The sequence below is a fragment of the Homo sapiens genome, chromosome 11 (genome assembly GCF_000001405.40).
Source record: "Homo sapiens chromosome 11, GRCh38.p14 Primary Assembly".
In the NCBI taxonomy this organism is placed as follows: domain Eukaryota; kingdom Metazoa; phylum Chordata; class Mammalia; order Primates; family Hominidae; genus Homo; species Homo sapiens.
In genome coordinates, this window is record NC_000011.10 from 59,155,964 (window position 1) to 59,173,676 (window position 17,713).

The window sequence follows — 17,713 nt, forward strand, 5'->3', positions numbered from 1 at the left end:
AAAACTGAGGTTCTGTCGAGTGTTCCCTACCAAAAGATGGCTGCAATATGCCTTATAAAGAAAACATATGTATTAGATAAGCTTTTCAGACAGGAGTTATGGCATTTTGGGCTGTGAGTTCAATGTTAAGGAATCAACAATATATATTAAATAAGCTGTATTTTTAACAGAAACACACATAAAGCAAGTTTATTTACTGACTTTGATGAAAATGTTGTGACCAGAAGATAATATGAATTTAACACTGTGTTACTCCTAAAGGCAATGCTTCAGTATTTGCTAATTCAATATTTGCAGCATCTTTATAGACCATAACTACCACAAATAATGAGAACTGACTGTATCATTTCAAATATGGTTTCAAGTCTAATGCCTGCCTAATCGTCACAGAGACTTAAACTTACGTGGCTTTACTGTTTATTAAATAATTTCTGACATATTATCTCAATACACATTAGAGCAGATATTATTATACCTGTTGCCTGTGTGAGAAGGAAGTATAACTGAATTTTTACCCAAATTGGTGATATCTTGGAAAAGACTGGGACTTATATCTTGAAATATAGCTTATTGTTCTTTCTCCTAAGAGCTAGTTCATCAGATCCAGACACTACTATGGCCATTCCTGCATCTAAAGTACACCCACCTTGGATCACTTAAGAAATATAAGCATTTCAGAATGCAGCAAATACCTTTCTCTGATTTTCTCTTGTCCTAGCTCTCAAGACCAGGTAGCTAGAAAATTCAGCTTAGGTCTGGATTTATCACCACTCACTCATCCAATTCCTGGTTACAGAGCTAACCCACTATCACATTCTACTCCAGATCTCTCTTTGAAATGGGATAATGGATTAAACAAGGTTGTAGTGGGTTTAACTGTGCCTGCCCCTAAGGGCAGGCACTATCCTCACCCTATATACCTATAAATGTGACCTTATTTAGACAAAAATGCTTTGTAGATGTAATTAAATTAAGATTCAAGAGATGAGATCATCCTGCACTTACTGGGTGAGCCCTAAATCCAGTAACGAGCATCCTTATAAGTAAAGAAGAAACACAGAGGAGAAACCGAGAAAGAAAGGCCATGTGAAGATGGAGACAGAAATTGGAGAGATACATCTACAAGCCAGGGGTTGCCAGGGATTGCCAGAGGCCACTAAAAGCTAGGAGAGAGGCATGGACAGGTTCTCCTCAAAACCTCCAGAAGGAACCAACCCTGATAACATCTTAATTTCAGACTTCTGGTCTCCAGAAATAAGAGAGTAGATTTCTGTAGTTTCAAGCCACCAAGTTTGGGGTAATTTGTTATGAACTGGGTGGCTTAAAACAATTTAGTCTCTCACAGTCATGAGAGGACAGAAATGTATAACCTGAAGTCAAGGTGTTGGCAGGGCTGTACTTTCTCCAGAAGGTGCAGTGGGGGTAAGGGCGAGTGAATTAAGGGTCCCCCACTGACCTACCTGCTAATGAGTCTGAGTGGCCAGAGGTAGAATTGAAATAAGCCACCCAAATGATTCTTTGGTTGTCACTCATGTGACTCAGTCTCCTCTGGGCAGGAACAGGAAGGGATGCTCTCATGACAATGGAGCAGCAAGCCCCACAGCCCAGCAGAAAAGCAACGTGGTTGTGGCTACTGAGTGAAGAATCCCTGAAGTTGAAATACATGGTGTCAGCAATAAGGACCTTGCTATTTGATATATAGCTTCGGGCGAACAAAACATTTGAAATTTATTTGATTGAATACAAACTAGTCATTCAAAACTAAAAATACATGTAGCCAATTTCCTTCCCCTTTGCCCCCCTTTAACCCATCCCTTCCCTTCTGCCTCAACCTCAGCTGCTTTTAGAGAAAGATAATTAGAATGCAACTGAGATATCTCTGTCCCCAAATGGGACGGAGGCCATGCACACCTGTGTGCATATACTGGGGAACTTCAGGGAGGGAAGGGCTCAAGCTTATGGCTCTGTTGGATTCAGGTGTCCAAGTCACCATCCTACCCTGTCCTGTAAGAGAACAAGATGTTGGGCACAGGAATGGCCAAAGGCACCAAGGACTAAAGGATGGAGCTGAGGCAGTGTACATAGGGGTAGAAAGGGATCTCTGGGCCTGGGTGTTCACCAAATACTGAGAGGTGCATGGAAAAGAACTGACACTTGTGCTTAGATTCTGACCCTGCAGCAAGGAGTTAAAGGAGGGAAAAGGCTAGCAACTAAGTTTTCTTCCCTCTCTCTCTCTGCTGTCTTCCATTTGCCACCCTAGCTGTCCTTTCCCTCTCACCCTGAACTTCCCTGGGCTCCTAGACAGGCACAATTGTTGGAGCCTGATTTTCATTATGCTCCTACAGGGGGAAAAGCAAACGAATTCAACTGATGGAGTTTAGGTATGATTTGCTGTGAGAGAAAGAAAGCTAAAGTAACGTTATAGATGGAGCTCCTTGGGCGGATTCAAGATACCGTTGTTGTGGAATGATGTTGAGTGCCTTCACTTCCTCATCTCGTGTCAGAGAGGATCACCCTGTTCAGCAACTGCTTCCTGTGGGACATGTAGATCATCCTCTCAGTTTGTTTCCCTGTCCCCTCTCAGTAGTCTAGCAACAACAATATAGACTCTTCAAAAGAATGGGAAATCCTAGCTTTGCTTAAATACAGAAGCGCTCAGAGGCCATTTCCTAGGACAACATTGCCACCTACTGGAGGTAGCCACAAGTACACACCAATAAAGGCAGCTGTCAATTACCCTGCTGCCAAACTCTTGAGATCCACTGCCTGACTCAAGGATGCCTCTTCCATCTGGCATCCCTTTTGGGTCTTGGGTCAACTAAGACTGGTTGACTAACAAAGGGAGAATCCAAAAGGCCAAAAAAGCAGTTAAATGAAAATGGTATATTCAAGAGCTCAGCCAGGGTGGTCTTGGCGTCACATTGGTTTTACAAGAAAAGAAAATGTCAGATGCCTTTCCGGGTGAAATGTTATCTCTTACTTTGTCACCTGAATTATGTTATTTTCCTCCAAGGAGGGTTTACTGTATCCTCCTGATACAGAGTGAAATCAGATCATTAAGGTCTGATTATCAATTAAGAGGTCTGATTATCAATCAGACCTTTTAATGATCAGATTTCAGTCATGGATAAAATCAACTTGAGACTCAGTTGTATAATGCCAAGGCTCTGTCTACCTCTGGTTGGCTTCACTTCTAGAGTGTAGCCTGGAAGGGCCCCAGCTGAGGCCTTGGGATGTTTACTAGTGTCCTCCCACTTCCTGCGTTATCGAATTCAGAACTCCAATTTTTATCTCCTCAGCACTGTAAGTCTTTAGGGCACTCTGCTCCACTTTTCACTGGATGACTCCAATGGGCACAAGGCATGAAACTTAGTGCCATCCTTAAGGATCTAAAGGATACAGAAATGATGCTCCCTGTCATGTATGCATTTAGTTCATCAGTTGTGGAGAATGACCATTCACTATCACAAAATCAACCAACTGGTGGGCCCAGTTGCAGCCACTGTGCCAGATGTGGAATCTTTGCTAGAGCAAATGCACATTTAATCAGGTACATGGTATGTGGCCATCAGTTGAATTAATGCATTCTCTTCTATCTCTATCAGAAAAAGGGATCATAAATAGTTCCACTCACATGGAATAGACAACAGTGTACATGTGTATTTTTGCCCCAGGACTATATTAGATATAGTGTTCCTTCTGTTATAATATAGATAGAAAAGATTTGGACTACTTGTACTTCCTTCAGACCATCACACCTGTCTACTATATCGATGTTAACATGCTAATTAGGCCAGATGGCAAGAAGTAATCAACTACCTTGGAGGTGCCGGTACACATGCATTTCAGGTGACAGGAAATAAACCCCGTGAGGAATCAGAGGCCCCCTAAATCAGGGGCATGCTAAGACCACCCATCCAAAGAAAAGGATGAATTATTGAATCTTGCATACCCCATGAAGAAAAAGAAAGTACACTGCCTGATAAATCTCTTTGGGTTCTGAAGGTAGCATATTCCATGCATGGGTATACTGTTTCAGCCAATTTACAGGGGATGCTATAGGCTGCCAGCCTTGAGTGGGGTCTGGATTAGGAAAGGGTCCCAGAAGATCCAAGCTATAGTGAAAACAGTACAGCTGCTTGGACCATGTGCCCTGGCTGACCCTCTGGTATCAGATGTGGGAAAAGATACCATGTGGAGTTGATAGCAAGCCCAAGTGGGAAAATTACAAGGCAAAGTTTTGGGGTTCTGGAGAAAGCCCGTGTTTTTTGCAGTGGATAGTTATATATCTTTTGAATAACAACTCCTTTTGAATTATATACTGTTTGAATATACCTTTTGGGCCCTGGTAGGGAGCACCTAACCATGAGACATTAAGTGACTCTGCATCCAAATCTCGCCATTTTTTAGTGAGTTCTATCAGAATTATCAAGTCATAATGTCAAGTGTGGCCAAAAAACCAGTCTCTCGTATGATGGAGTTGGAATGCCTAGCATTGTGCAGCATGAGCAGGAAAGGAGACCACAAGTGAGTTGTATGACAAATGTGTGGAGCAGGCTCCCAAAGATGTTCACACCATAATCCCTGGAATATGACCATGTAGGTTATATGGGAAAAGGGAATTAAGACCGCTAATCATCTAAGTTTAAGATAGCAAGGTTATCTTGGATATCTGGATAGCCTGATGTAAGCACGATGATTCTTAAAGGTGAGAAAAGGGAGAATCAGAGATTCAGAGGGAAACGTGACCATGAAAGAGGCACAGAGAGATGCAACACTGCTGGCTTTGAAGATGGGGGAAGGGGTCATGAACCAAGAAATGTGAGTGAGCTCTAGGAGAAAGAAAAGGCAAGGAAACAGATTCTCTTCTAAACCTTCCAGAAGAGAACTGAGCCATAATGATACCTTGATTTTAGTCCAGCGAGACCCATGTCAGGTATCTGACCTATGTAGGCCTATACATCAGCCTGGGAAACAAAGGGTAGAGGCAGGAAGGGCCCTGCTTAGCTTTATCTGTATCCCTAATAACACACTTAGGGAATTTGTGCTTCCTGTCTCTCCCTCTGCCATCCATGCCCCTGCCAGCCCCCAGGTCAGGGCTCTGTAGGATGAAAGGTCCTGATTCCCTGTGGGGGCACACTTCTGCCAGGGGACACGGAAAGAGTCCTGCTGAACTCTAAGCTATAGCTTCTGCCTGTCACTGCAAAGACTTTGTATCCAGAGACCAGTATGCAAGAAGAGTCATTGCCTGGGCTCAGGCAATTAACCCAGTTCTTCAGGAGGAGGAAGTGCTTATGTGACACAGTAAGGGCAGGGAGAAATGTGTTTGCCACTCACATGATCCATTTGGACCCTACTTGACCAAATTTGATAGTAAACAGACAATTACACCACCATAGCTTGAAAATAGCATGGCAGCCAGGGTCTCAGACCCCTCAGAAATGAAGATTTGGGTCCTGCCACCAGGTAAGACACCAATACTAGGAGAAGCATTACCTGAGGCTGAGGCTGATATAGAATGGACACCAGAGAAGGGAGAGAGTAAAAATCAGTTACATCCCCTAAATCAATTGCTGTGAGAAAAATGAGAATTCTCTCCGAAATTCCAAATAAAATAAATTCTCCCTTTATTTATTATTTTATTTATTTGAGAGAATTATCTCTCAAATTCCAGCTGTGCATTGTACCAACTGGAATTTGAAAGTGAAAAAATACCATTTATTTGAGCAATTTCCCTCCTTCCCATCCAAACTAACTTGCTGAGATTTTGATTGCATTTGCAATGAATCTGTAGAACAAGTTGGGAAGAACTGATAACTTGACAATACTGAGCCTTTCTATAAATGTACATTGACTATCTCTCCATGTATTTAGTCATTCTTTGATTTCATTTATCGGAATTTTGTAGTTTTCTTCATATAGAGCTTGTTCAGTCTTTTCAGATTTATGCCCCAGCTGTCTCTTCCCAGTGGAGTTGTATAGATAGTGCTATTTCTCCCAGCCACAATGTGTGACAATACACATGAAGTATCATCAGCCAGGGAAGCTCACCTGAGCTTCAGTGTCAGGGTTTTTACTGGGGGCTATTCATGTAGATATGGCTGACCTTAGTCTCCAGATCCTCCAGAAGTGGTGCTGATAATGTGTGGTCCAAGTCCACCACTATAAATATTAAATAAAATAGACTTCAGATCAGAGAAAATTACCAGAGACAGAGAGTGCTATTATATAATAATAAAAGGATTGATCACCTAAAAGACACAGTAATTACAGGTGTGCAAGCACAAAACAACAAAGTGACAAAATATGTTAAGCAAATCCTGATATAACTAAAAGGATAATAGGCAAATCCACAATTATAGTTAGAGAACTCAACATCCTCCTCTCTCAACAACTTATAGAACAACTATACAGAAAATCAGCCTGGATATGGAAGAACGGAACAACATGATAAACCAACAGGGTCTACTGGTCATTTATAGAACACTTCATCCAACAGTAGAGTACACATTCTTTTCAAGCACCCACAGAGTGAATACAAAGATAGATCATATCCTAGGCCATGACACAAACCTCAACAAATTTGAAAGAGTTGAAATCATATTGAGTGTGTCCTCTGGGCTACAATGGGATCAAACTAGGAATCAATAACCTAACAATAACAGAAAAACCTCCAAACATTTGAAAGCCAAACAGCACACTTCTCACTTCTTTCTTTCTTTCTTTCTTTCTTTCTTTTTTTTTTTTTTTTTGAGACGGAGTCTCACTCTGTCACCCTGGCTGGAGTGCAGTGGTGCGATCTCGCCTCACTGCAAGCTCTGCCTCCCGGGTTCATGCCATTCTCCTGCCTCAGCCTCCCAAGGAGCTGGGACTACAGGCTCCCGCCACCACGCACAGCTAATTTTTTTTTTTGTATTTTTAGTAGAGACGGGGTTTCACCTTGTTAGCCAGGATGGTCTCGATCTCCTGACCTCATGATCCTCCCACCTCAGATAGTGCGTAGGTTAAAGAAGAAGACTCAGGAGAAATTTAAAAAGACATTGAACTGAATAAAGGTGAAAATAAAGCGTCTCAAAATTTGTGGGACACAGCCAAAGCCATGGTGAGAGGAAAATCAATAGCACTAAATGCTTACATTAGGAAAGAGGAAAAGCCTCAAACCAATAATATCAGCTTTTACTATAATAATCTAAAAAAAGAGCAAAATAGGTAGCCAAATTAAGACAATAATAAAGATAAGAGCCAAAATAAACAATGAGTTGGTTCTTTTGAAAAAAAAAATACATGAAATTGACATACTGCTTAGCGAGACTGGCAGGGAAGGAGGGAAGGAGAAAGGGAGAGGTGGGGGGAGAAAACCAAATTGCCAATAACATCAAGAATGAAGCCATGTTATCACCACAGCCCTTGAAGATATCAAAAGTATAATAAGCACACATTATGAACAACTCCACACATAAATTTGACAACTTGTATAAAATGGACCAATCCCTTAAAAAATACAAATGACCACAACTCATCCGATATGAAATAGGTAATTTGAATAGCGCTCTATTAAGGAAATTGAATTTGTAATTTAAAATCTTCTGAAAAAGACATCTCCAGGGCTAGATGCTTTTACTGGACAATTCTATCAAACTTTTAAAGAAGAATTAACACCAATTCTATACAGTCTGTTTCAGAAAATAGAAGAGGGTAGAAAACTTCCCAATTCATTTTTATGAAGCTAGTATTATTCTGATACCACCCCTCCCAAAATGAAAGTATTAAAAGACAAACTTTAGACAAATTTAATTTAACAGAATTTTACAGAGCAAAGAACAATTCGAGAATCAGGCAACTCCACAGAACTAGAATAGATTGGGAGACACTCCAACACTGCCACTTAGTTGAAGATAATTTATGGACAGAGAAAGGAAAGTAGCTTAGAGAAAATGAAAGTGAGGTATAGAAACAGCAGCCTTGTTTCTATACAATAAGAGAGCAACTCAAATATCTAGGAGGATATTAAATGTTCCCAACAAAAAGAAATGATAAATGTTTGAGGTGGACGTATATGCTAGTTACCCTGATCTGATCACTATATATTATATGTATCAAAACATCACTATGTACCCCATAAATATGTACAATCATGTGTCAATTTTAAAATACAATTTTAGAAAGTATTTTGAAATAAAAAGTTTAAAAAAGAAGAAAAAAGAAAAGAAAAGAAACAGTTGCCTTGGCTACAGCGCAGCATTTACCTTGTTTGAACACTATTGGAACAGTTGGCCTCCTGTGAGTGGTTGAAGTATTGCTTCTGTGATTGGCTGAGACTCAGGTAGTTGCTACAAAAGTAGGCTAGTCTGTTTCCACATTCGGTTAAGTTATAGTTCACTATGTATTGAGAAACGTTTAGGTTAAACTTAAAGTATGTAAGGAGGTAGCTTTAGGCTAAGCTTAATTTAACAAAAGAAAGAGAAAAGAAAACTATACACCAAGATTCTTTATAAATATAGACCACCGCCAATTTTTTTTTTTTTTTTTTTTTTTGAGACAGGCTCTTCCTCTGTCACCCAGGCTGGAGTGCAGTGGCTCATCATAGCTCACTGTAACCTTGAAATCCTGGGCTCAAGGTACCCTTTTGCCTTAACCTCTGAAGTTGGACTACAGGTATGCACCACCATGCCCAGCCCCCTGAAAACTTTAACAAATGAAATATAGCAATATTTTATAATAATTATACACTATGACAAAGTGGGGTTTATTCCAGGGATGCACATCTCATTAAGTATTTGAAAATCAATGCAATCCACCATATTAGCAGTCTGAAGAAACAAAATCTCATGATCATATCAATTGATACCAAAAAAGCATTTAATAAAACTCAATATCTGTTCATGATTTAAAAAACTCTCAGAAAAATAAGGATAGAGGAAAACTTCCTCAACTTGATAAAGAACATCTAAAATGAACACCTACAGCTATTATCACAGTTCTTAGTGAAAAACTAGATGTTATCTAAGATCAGAAACAAGGCAAGAATGTCTATTCTCACAACTGTATTAAACATAGTACTGGAAATTCCAGGTAATACAATTCTAAGTAAGGCAAGAAAAGGAAATGAAAAACATAAGGATCGGCCGGGCGCGGTGGCTCACGCCTGTAATCCCAGCACTTTGGGAGGCCAAGGCGGGCGGATCACGAGGTCAGGAGATCAAGACCATTCTGGCTAACCCAGTGAAACCCCGTCTCTACTAAAAATACAAAAAATTAGCCAGGCGTGGTGGCGGGCGCCTGTAGTCCCAGGTACTCGGGAGGCTGAGGCAGGGGAATGGCGTGAACCTGGGAGGCGGAGCTTGCAGTGAGCCGAGATTGCGTCACTGCACTCCAGCCTGGGCGACAGAGCAAGACTCCGTCTCAAAAAAAAAAAGAAAGAAAGAAAAGAAAAGAAAAGAAAAGCATAAGGATCAGAAATGAAGAAACAAAATTGTCCCTATTTGGAGATGACATGTAAACTCCTAAGGAATCTATAAAAGAACTCTTAGACCCAGATTTGGACTCCTTAGCAAGCTTACAAGATACTAAATAAACATACAAAAATCCATTGTATTTATATGTACCAGCAATAAGTACGTGGAACCAAAATTAAAAATAGAATGCCATTTATTAATATAATCACTCTGAAACAAAATGAACTACTTAAGTGTACATTGAGCAAAAAATGAACTGGATAGGTATGCTGAAAACTAGAAAACACATAAAACAAAGAAGATCTAAATAAATAGAGAAGCATATCCATATCGTGTTTATGGATTGGAAGACTTAACACAGTAAAAATATGTCAATTCTCCTCAAATTGATATACAGCTTCAATGCAATTCCTATCAAAATCCCAGCAAGAATTTTTGCACATATAGACAAGATTATTCTAGTATTTATGTGGAAATCAAAGGATCCAGAATAGCCTAAACAATTTTGAAGAAGAATAAAGTGAGATGAATCAATCTACCCAATTTACAATAAGACATTACATAGCTTATTAATACAGCTTATTAATCAACATTGTGCAGTAGTGGTGAAGGGACAGACATATAGGTCAATGGAACAGACTAGAGAAACCAGAAATAGATCTACACAAATATGCCAGACTGATTTTTTTACAAAGACTCAAAAGCAATTCAAAGGAGGAAGAAAAGCCTTTTCAACAAATAGCGCTAGGACAATACATCTATAGGCAAATAAACACATAAAAAGACACTCAAACCTCACTCCATACACAAAAATTTAACTCAGAATGGATTGTAGATTTACATGGAAGTTGTAAAAGTATGAAAGTTTTAGAACAAAACAGAGGAAAAAAATATTCAAATCTTAGGACTAGCCAAAGAGTTCTTAAAATTAACATGGGAAACAGAAGCCATTTAGAAAAAAAAAATTTGGTAAGTTGTATTTTATCAAATTAAAAAACTTTTGTTTTGTGAAAGACGCTATGAAGAGCATGGAAAACATAAGCTACAGATTGAGAAAAAATATTTTCAAACTATATATCCACCAAGAGTATTTATTTATTTATTTATTTGAGACTAGGATTCACTCTGTTGCCCAGGCTGGAGTGCAACATCACCATCACAGCTCACTGCAGCCTCAACCTCCCAGACTCAAGCGATCCTCCCACCTCAGCCTCACAAGTAGGTGAAACCACAAGCCTGCACCACCGCGGCCAGCTAATTTTTGTATTTTTTGTAGAGACAGGGTTTCCCCATGTTGCCCATGCTGATCTCCAGCTCTTGAGCTCAGGCAATCGAACTCCTGACTGGGCTTCCCAAAGTGCTAGGATTACAAGCTTGAGCCACTGTGCCCAGCCCAATATTTAGAATATAAAAAGAACTCTCTAATTTCAATAATAGAAAACAGAAACCAGCAAAAGACCTGAACAGATATCAAAGAGCATATATGGCAAATAAACGCATGGAAAGATGTTCAACATTATTAGTCAATAAGGAAACAAGTTAAAAACAATGAAATAACTCTACACACTTACCAAAATGGCTAAAATAAAATATACTGACCAAAAAATGATGGTGAAGATGTAGTGACCAGATCATGGGTATATTGCTGGTGAAAATTCAAAATGGTGCAGCCACTTTAGAAAACTGGCAGTTTGTTAAAAAAGCTAAACATGCAACTACCCTATGACCTTGCCATTGTACTCCTAGGCATTTATCACAGAGAAATGGATACTTTACCTTCACACAAAAACCTGGATGAGAGTGTTCATAGTAGCTTTATTCATAATAGCCCAAACTAGAAACAACTTATATGAACTTCCATGGATGAACAGTAAGGTGGTCCATGGATACTATGGAACACTACTTAGCAATAAAAAGAAACAAACTTCTCTTGATACACACAACTTGGATGAATCTTTAGAGAATTAAGCTGAGTGGAAAAAGCCTATCTTAAAAGATTGAATGCTCTATGATCCATTTGCATAATATTCTTGAAATGACAAAATCATAAATATGGAGAACATATTAGTTATTGCCAGGAGTTATGGACAGGATGGTAGTGGGGAGGAATTAGTGGGTGTGACCTTTTAGGGCAACATGAGAAATCCTTGTGGTGTGGAAAATGTATATTGTATACAAAATGTGTATTGTATAATGTGTGACACAATGGTATTATATCAATAATGGAGCAGAATTGTAACCATTCTGTATCTTAACTGTGTCAATATCAGCAATGGTATTGCACTATAGTTTTCCTATAGTTTTATGGGATGTTGAGGATACACAGGCTCTGTCTGTTTCTTATAACTGCATGTGAATTTAAATTATTTTAAAATAAAAAATTAAAATGCAATGCATCTTCTGCCTGGCTTTTTCTCTTGCCTCTCGTTTATTTGGAAACTAACTTCTGTGTTGTGAGAATGCCCATCAATCACATGGACAGGCCATGTGTAGGTACTTGGGCTGATAGCCCTAGTTGAGTGCCCAGATAACAGCCAGTATCAAGCAGTAGACTTATGAATGAGCAAACCTACAGATGATTCCAGCCACCTGCTTTCCTGAGAGCTCCCTTGAGCTAATGCTGTGTGTAGCAAAGACCAGCTGTCCTTGGAAGCCCTCCCCAAAGTGCAGATGTGTTTGAAAAATAAACGCTTGCTGCTGTTTTTAGCCACCAGTTTTAGGGTGCTTTATTACATAATAATAGGTAATTGAAAAAAAAAAGGGCTTTGTCTATGAACATTCCACAGAAAAAGAAGAGAAGCGGCTTTTTCACTGAATCTTTGTGTTAGACAATGACGACCTTTTTTGAAGTATCATCAAATTGTACCTTTGAACAGTTCAAAACTGGCTTCATAGTCTCAATTAGTGAGGTTTTATTATAGCCATCATATGTTCAAATTAAAAATTTGGCATATCATTTGGTTAAAGATTTTTATGCCACTTATGAGTACAGGAGACAATTTGGGAGATATAGTTTGGATACTAAAATGGAATGTCGGCCAGGCACGGTGGCTCATGCCTGTAATCCCAGCACTTTGGGAGGCCAAGGCGGGCGGATCACCTGAGTCCGGAGTTCGAGACCAGCCTGGCCAACATGGTGAAACCCCATCTCTACTAAAACTACAAAAATTAGCCGGGCCTGGTCACAGGCACCTGTAATCCTAGCTACTGGGGAGGCTGAGGCAGGAGAATCGCTTGAACCTGGGAGGAGGAGGTTGCAGTGAGCCGAGATCATGCCATTGCACTCCAGCCTAGGGGACAAGAGCAAGATTTTGTCTCAAAAAATAAATAAATAAATAAAATGGAATTTCTGAGATTTTCAGGGTTTATGGTACAGATTATTTGAAATTAGGATTGTGTTAGAAGATCTAAGAAATGTATATACATATATAATAATTATTTATACATAATTATAAATTATTATTTCTAATTGGGTCATGATAAACTATAAATTATCATGGATTATTAAAATACAAATATTTTACATCTATAATTTACTATTAATGTCAAGTCATACACACACAAACACGAGGGGACTTCCAAAAGTTTGTGAAAAATAAAATTAAAAAACAAAATAAAAAATGTACACTTTATTTCTCAACATAAGCACCATCAAGTTCAAGATATTTTGTAGGTGATGATATGAATCATTTAGTCCATCACTAAAGAACTGAGTGTCCTGGGACCCTAACCATATCAATGCAGTTTTACTTTACTATAGAAAAACAGATGCTCTTTAAAAAATTTTTTAAGATTAGGAAACAAAAAGAAGTCAGAGGAGCCAAATCAGGACTGTACAGCAGATTAAAAGATTTTCCATCAAATTGCTCACAAAAGTGCGTTTGTTTGATGAGAGGAATGAGCATGAACATTGCCATGGTGGAGAACGACTCTGGTGAAGCTTTCCCAGGTATTTTATCCTAAAGCTGTTGCTAATTTTTGCAAAATACTCTCATATTAGGCAGATGTTATTGTTCTCTGGCCCTCCAGAAAGTCAGTAAGTAAAATGCCTTGAGCATCTCCAAAAAATTGTTGCCATGGTCTCTGCTTTTGACCAGTGCACTTTTGCTTTGACTGGACCACTTCTACCTCTTGATAGCCATTGCTTTGGTTGTTCCTTGTCATCAGGATTATACTGGTAATGTTTCATCTCCTGTTACAATTCTTCAAAGAAATGTTTCATGATCCTGATCCCACCCATTTAAAATCTCTATTGAAAGGCCTGCTCTTGTCTGTGGCCAACCTGGGTGCAATGGTTTTGGCACCTATCAAGGAATGGAAAGTTTAATTTCTTTGTCAGAATTGTGTAAGCTGAACCAGTTGACATATCTATGGTGTAGGCTATTGTTTTGACTGCTAATCCTTGATCCTCTTCAGTAAGGGCATTGTCTTACCCTTCTTAGTGTCTCAAACTAGATCCTGTTCAGACATGTTATAACAAGTTAGTATGAGTTTATTTGGGTGCAAAAAAACAATTTGAACTACCAGCCTAGTTTTTTCATAATATGCATTTTCCATAAAATTTTAAAGACCCCTCTCATTTGTGTGTATATGTGTGTATGTGTGTGTGTGTATTCACTTCCTCTTGCAAATGAATCAGACTACATACAAACCTTCTCACATGTCATAAGATATTTTTATTCTGCTGTAATACTCTGTTGTGTTTAACATGGAAGATACAAGAAGACCAGATACAAAACTAGGCTGGACATAGGCAGGTAGGCGTCAGTTTCCTTCTGCCTTCCATTCGCCTTTCAAACAGCTCATCTAACATTTGCTGGTAGCCTGCTTATCTAGTTTAGATTTTTTTCACCTTGGAATTTCTGGCTTAGCTGGTCAGGTGCTATATTTTCGCTGGTACTTCCAATATCCCCTTGAATCATTACTCTTCACTTTTTGATTCATACTTACCAAGACTATAAGAAAGTTTCCTGAGTTTTGATACTTTCCATTTTTATGACTAGAAATAAAAGTAGCCCAATAAATTTTTAAATTACTTTTTCTTCAGTTTGCCTTCTGTTTCTTTTCCAGAAAATTCTACCCCCATTTTCTCCCTTCCCTTCTTTCACACTGAGACACTTCTACATTGCCTGTTATTGTGCCACCTCTGTGTTGTATAGGACATGCTATGGAACAGGCATTTTCTTTTGAGACAGCCCAACTAAATTTTGAATACTGGTTTCCCCTCTAACTAGCTATGTAATCTAGGGCAAATAGTTTAAATTCCTTAAGTCCTGTCATTTGTAAAATGGTAATAATAATGGCCTATGATATAATTAGTCGAGGTATCCTTGTTTTCTTTTTGTTCTTCTAATTCTGAAACTCGACATTTTAATGAGTGGTATTGTTTAGGTTGGATTAGGAACAGTCCCCAAATAAGGGAGAGGCCGACTAGGCATTTTGGAGGCCAAGCTGTGCAAGAAGACCAGAAAGAACAAAGCTCAGAGGTTCCTTGAGCCTGGTGCCTTTAGGGGCCTGAAGAAGAACAGATCTCACACTTTTTCTTTTGCTTTGTATTTAGAACTCTGTTGGGAGAAAGATAAAGGTAGAAGGATGCAAAATTCTAACAATGGGAGAAATGACAGCTGCAAGGAGAGGGAGGGGGAAGCAACTCTTCTAAAACATAAAAGGGTCATATGATATTTATGAAAAAATTGATTATTTCAAAAAGATTCACAATCCCATTCTCTAACACATAATCTATTTTTACTTTCCCGCATCCTATAACTTGGATCTTGATAAGACTCGATTCGTTGTTTTATGTGGTTTGCAATCTCAACAAAACAAAATTTGTGTTCTTTGACAAGGATAATGCATAATCCTGACTTCAGTCTTCCCTTTTAGTCAGAACCTACCTATTTAAGGTTATTTTCCATATTAACTATTGATGATCAAAATAAGTCTAACTCGTGTTTTTCCTAGTGTTTCATAATTTTAGTTACAGAAACGATGCAGATAAAATTAATCTAACATGCGTCTTCCTGACTCTAGTACGTTGAATCTGGCCAGAAAAACCACATTTGCTCTCTACGTAGGTAATATAAATCCATCATTAGCGAAATTGCTGCATCCCTTTGGACTGGGTCTCATTAGCAGAGGTTGGAGTGGCCACTGGCCGGCACACGACACTTTAGGCCAGCAGGGGGCGGGTAAGCTCCAGGGCACTCGCCCGAGCAGCAGGGGGCGTGTCTTCTGCTTCCTTGACGGACAGCTAAGGATGCGGGAGAGGATGAGGTAATAGGAGCCGGGGCAAGGAAGGAGTTGGGGTGCGCGCGCGTGTGTGTGCGACTGTGAGTGTGCCAGTGCGTGCGCAAGCCCCGAGACAATGCGTGTCTCCAGTTCGCGCTGCGGACACTGATCATGCTGCATTAAGGAAAAAAAAAGAGAGAGAGAGAGAAAATTACATTTGGGGGAAGGAGGCTGCAAAGTTGCGGCTGGGCGACAGTGGTGGTCCCGGGGCCGTGTCATGGCGGGTCGCTTCTCTGCATCAAGGAACCAGGGAAACACACGCGGGCGCGGGTTTGCCTTAGCGCCCTGCTTGGGAGGGGTGGTTCATTCTGGAAGGAACTGAGCAGAGCCACAGGCAGGGGGAGCTCTCCCAGCGGCGGGGACTGCAATTCGTGCGGCGAAGGGGTGGGGAGGGAGGGAGAGAGGGGAGGGGACCAGAGCGTGCCATTCCGAGCGCGGCCGTGCGGCGAGATCCCACCCCGGCGTCTGCAGAGGCCGAGGCGCAACTGGTGCGAGGGCTGGGTCCTTGCCTCGCCGTCAGCCCCAGCTCGCGGCCGCCGGGGCTCGGGCCGCGCGCCCGCCGAGTGGCTTTTGCAAGGCGGGGGCCTGTTTGCAGAGAGCCGGGCATTTGCATGAAGCGACTCGACCCCACAGAGCAGCGGCAGCAGCAGCGGACCCCGGCGGCGGCGGCGGCGCGCGGTCCCAGCCAGGCGGCCCCGGTGTCCCGGCCCCGGTGGATGCACGGCTGGGGAGGAGCCCATGGGCCGGAGCTGAGGCTGCCCGGGGCGGCGGGGCGCGGGGCAGGGGGCGCGGTCGAGGCCCGGAGGCGGCGGCGCAGGAGGAAGCGGAGGAGGTCGGGCGCTCGGGGCCCGGGAGGCGGGCCGCGCAGCGCCGCAGCCCCGGGCTCGCCATGCTCCTGGCCTCGGCCGTGGTGGTCTGGGAATGGCTGAACGAGCACGGCCGCTGGCGTCCCTACAGCCCAGCGGTGAGCCACCACATCGAGGCGGTGGTCCGCGCCGGCCCCCGCGCGGGGGGCAGCGTGGTGCTGGGCCAGGTGGACAGCCGTCTCGCGCCCTACATCATCGACCTGCAGTCCATGAACCAGTTCCGCCAAGACACGGGTGAGCCAGCCGCCCCTGACCCCGCCCCGCCTGCTCCCACCTTCCCAACCTGCCAAGGTACCTCCCTCCCTGTGAACCCACCTTGGCCACCTAGTCGGCACTTCTGTGCAGCAGTGTCACCAAGAGGTGGTGGTGGGAGGCGATTCACTCCGCTGAATCCTCGCAGGATCCTCCCTCCCCCTTAAACATCCATGCAAATAGTATCAGTGTTGTGGTTTTGCAAACCCAGCTTCAACCTAGTCGGTAACAATCCACTCCCCACCCCTTTCATGCCCCCGCTTTTCAGCAGTTGGTGGCCCTAAGTCTTTCTATGTAGAAATTCTAGGGCCGCCCCAGACTACAGGCAATCCCAGCCCTTCGCAAAGGCTTCCTGCCCTCATCCCGTGGCGGCCGGCACCTTGGCTGACCTGACCCTGTTTTGCTTCAGGCACGCTGGGGCTTGCCACACGTCCCCTCACCCCCGATCTCACTGCCTCTGCGTCTCCTGTGTGGGATGCCTCCCCGCAGCTGGGTCCTGGGTGTGGGAACTGGGGGAGGAAGAAGGGATTCCCCGGAGGTTCTCGCTACAGTCGGGTAAGGGAAGCGCCGGGCTCCCTGGGAGGAGAGACTAGGGCTGGGGTACCCTGGACGCCGCGGCATTGGCGAATGCCTCTGCTACACACTACATGCGCGGAAGCAACAGGCCGGAGCAGATGGAGAGAGGAGGGGGAGGCTCGGGGCTTCGGAATGCATGGCAGGGAAGCCGCTCCCTTTGTCTGCGGAGGAGGAGGACGCAGATTCCTAAGGAGAAACTGTCCCCAGGCTTCCTCTTGAAACCATAGCCTGTAAGGAACCCATGGTCTCCTGGAGCGCCAAACTCCTATCTTTTCA

General features: G+C 42.2%; 2 protein-coding genes across 3 annotated transcripts in view, besides 8 other annotated features; one reads left to right on the top strand and one right to left on the bottom strand.

The window, feature by feature from the left end:
• Positions 2,779–2,828: an enhancer, noted in NCBI's record as "active region_4749". NCBI's record gives its function as "activates an Ori minimal core promoter by ATAC-STARR-seq in GM12878 lymphoblastoid cells {active_cell/tissue: GM12878}" and the evidence as "EXISTENCE:reporter gene assay evidence [ECO:0000049][PMID:35858748]".
• LOC124902601 (basic proline-rich protein-like) lies at positions 14,112–17,482 on the bottom strand. The gene is made up of 2 exons (XM_047427951.1): positions 17,302–17,482; positions 14,112–16,767 (listed from the first exon to the last, which is right to left on the bottom strand). The coding sequence occupies exons 1-2, from the start codon at positions 17,480–17,482 to the stop codon at positions 15,959–15,961; spliced, it is 990 nt and encodes a 329-aa protein (XP_047283907.1). The 3' UTR covers positions 14,112–15,958.
• Positions 15,306–15,846: an enhancer, noted in NCBI's record as "NANOG-H3K27ac-H3K4me1 hESC enhancer chr11:58938742-58939282 (GRCh37/hg19 assembly coordinates)". NCBI's record gives its function as "activates a minimal SCP1, AML or CMV promoter by ChIP-STARR-seq in primed H9 embryonic stem cells {active_cell/tissue: H9 hESC(primed)}" and the evidence as "EXISTENCE:reporter gene assay evidence [ECO:0000049][PMID:30033119]".
• Positions 15,467–17,713, top strand: part of DTX4 (deltex E3 ubiquitin ligase 4) — a 37,159-nt gene continuing 34,912 nt past the window's right edge. Inside the window, exon 1 of one of the 2 annotated variants that reach the window (NM_001300727.2) lies at positions 15,467–15,525. Coding sequence is in view for 1 of the 2 variants with exons in the window: in NM_015177.2 (NP_055992.1) it covers positions 16,633–16,843 (211 nt within the window). In the remaining variant the exon portion in view is untranslated. Of the gene's footprint in view, positions 15,526–16,168; positions 16,844–17,713 lie in introns of those variants that run through there. The other variant, NM_015177.2, reaches the window with a different exon arrangement.
• Positions 15,933–16,227: an enhancer, noted in NCBI's record as "tiled region #11967; K562 Activating DNase matched - State 4:PromP". NCBI's record gives its function as "activates a minimal TATA promoter and a strong SV40 promoter by Sharpr-MPRA in K562 cells {active_cell/tissue: K562}" and the evidence as "EXISTENCE:reporter gene assay evidence [ECO:0000049][PMID:27701403]".
• Positions 15,933–16,675: a biological region, named in NCBI's record as "Sharpr-MPRA regulatory region 11967".
• Positions 16,106–16,675: a silencer, noted in NCBI's record as "silent region_3360". NCBI's record gives its function as "represses an Ori minimal core promoter by ATAC-STARR-seq in GM12878 lymphoblastoid cells {active_cell/tissue: GM12878}" and the evidence as "EXISTENCE:reporter gene assay evidence [ECO:0000049][PMID:35858748]".
• Positions 16,736–16,785: a silencer, noted in NCBI's record as "silent region_3361". NCBI's record gives its function as "represses an Ori minimal core promoter by ATAC-STARR-seq in GM12878 lymphoblastoid cells {active_cell/tissue: GM12878}" and the evidence as "EXISTENCE:reporter gene assay evidence [ECO:0000049][PMID:35858748]".
• Positions 16,855–17,683: an enhancer, noted in NCBI's record as "H3K27ac-H3K4me1 hESC enhancer chr11:58940291-58941119 (GRCh37/hg19 assembly coordinates)". NCBI's record gives its function as "activates a minimal SCP1, AML or CMV promoter by ChIP-STARR-seq in naive H9 embryonic stem cells {active_cell/tissue: H9 hESC(naive)}" and the evidence as "EXISTENCE:reporter gene assay evidence [ECO:0000049][PMID:30033119]".
• Positions 17,126–17,235: an enhancer, noted in NCBI's record as "active region_4750". NCBI's record gives its function as "activates an Ori minimal core promoter by ATAC-STARR-seq in GM12878 lymphoblastoid cells {active_cell/tissue: GM12878}" and the evidence as "EXISTENCE:reporter gene assay evidence [ECO:0000049][PMID:35858748]".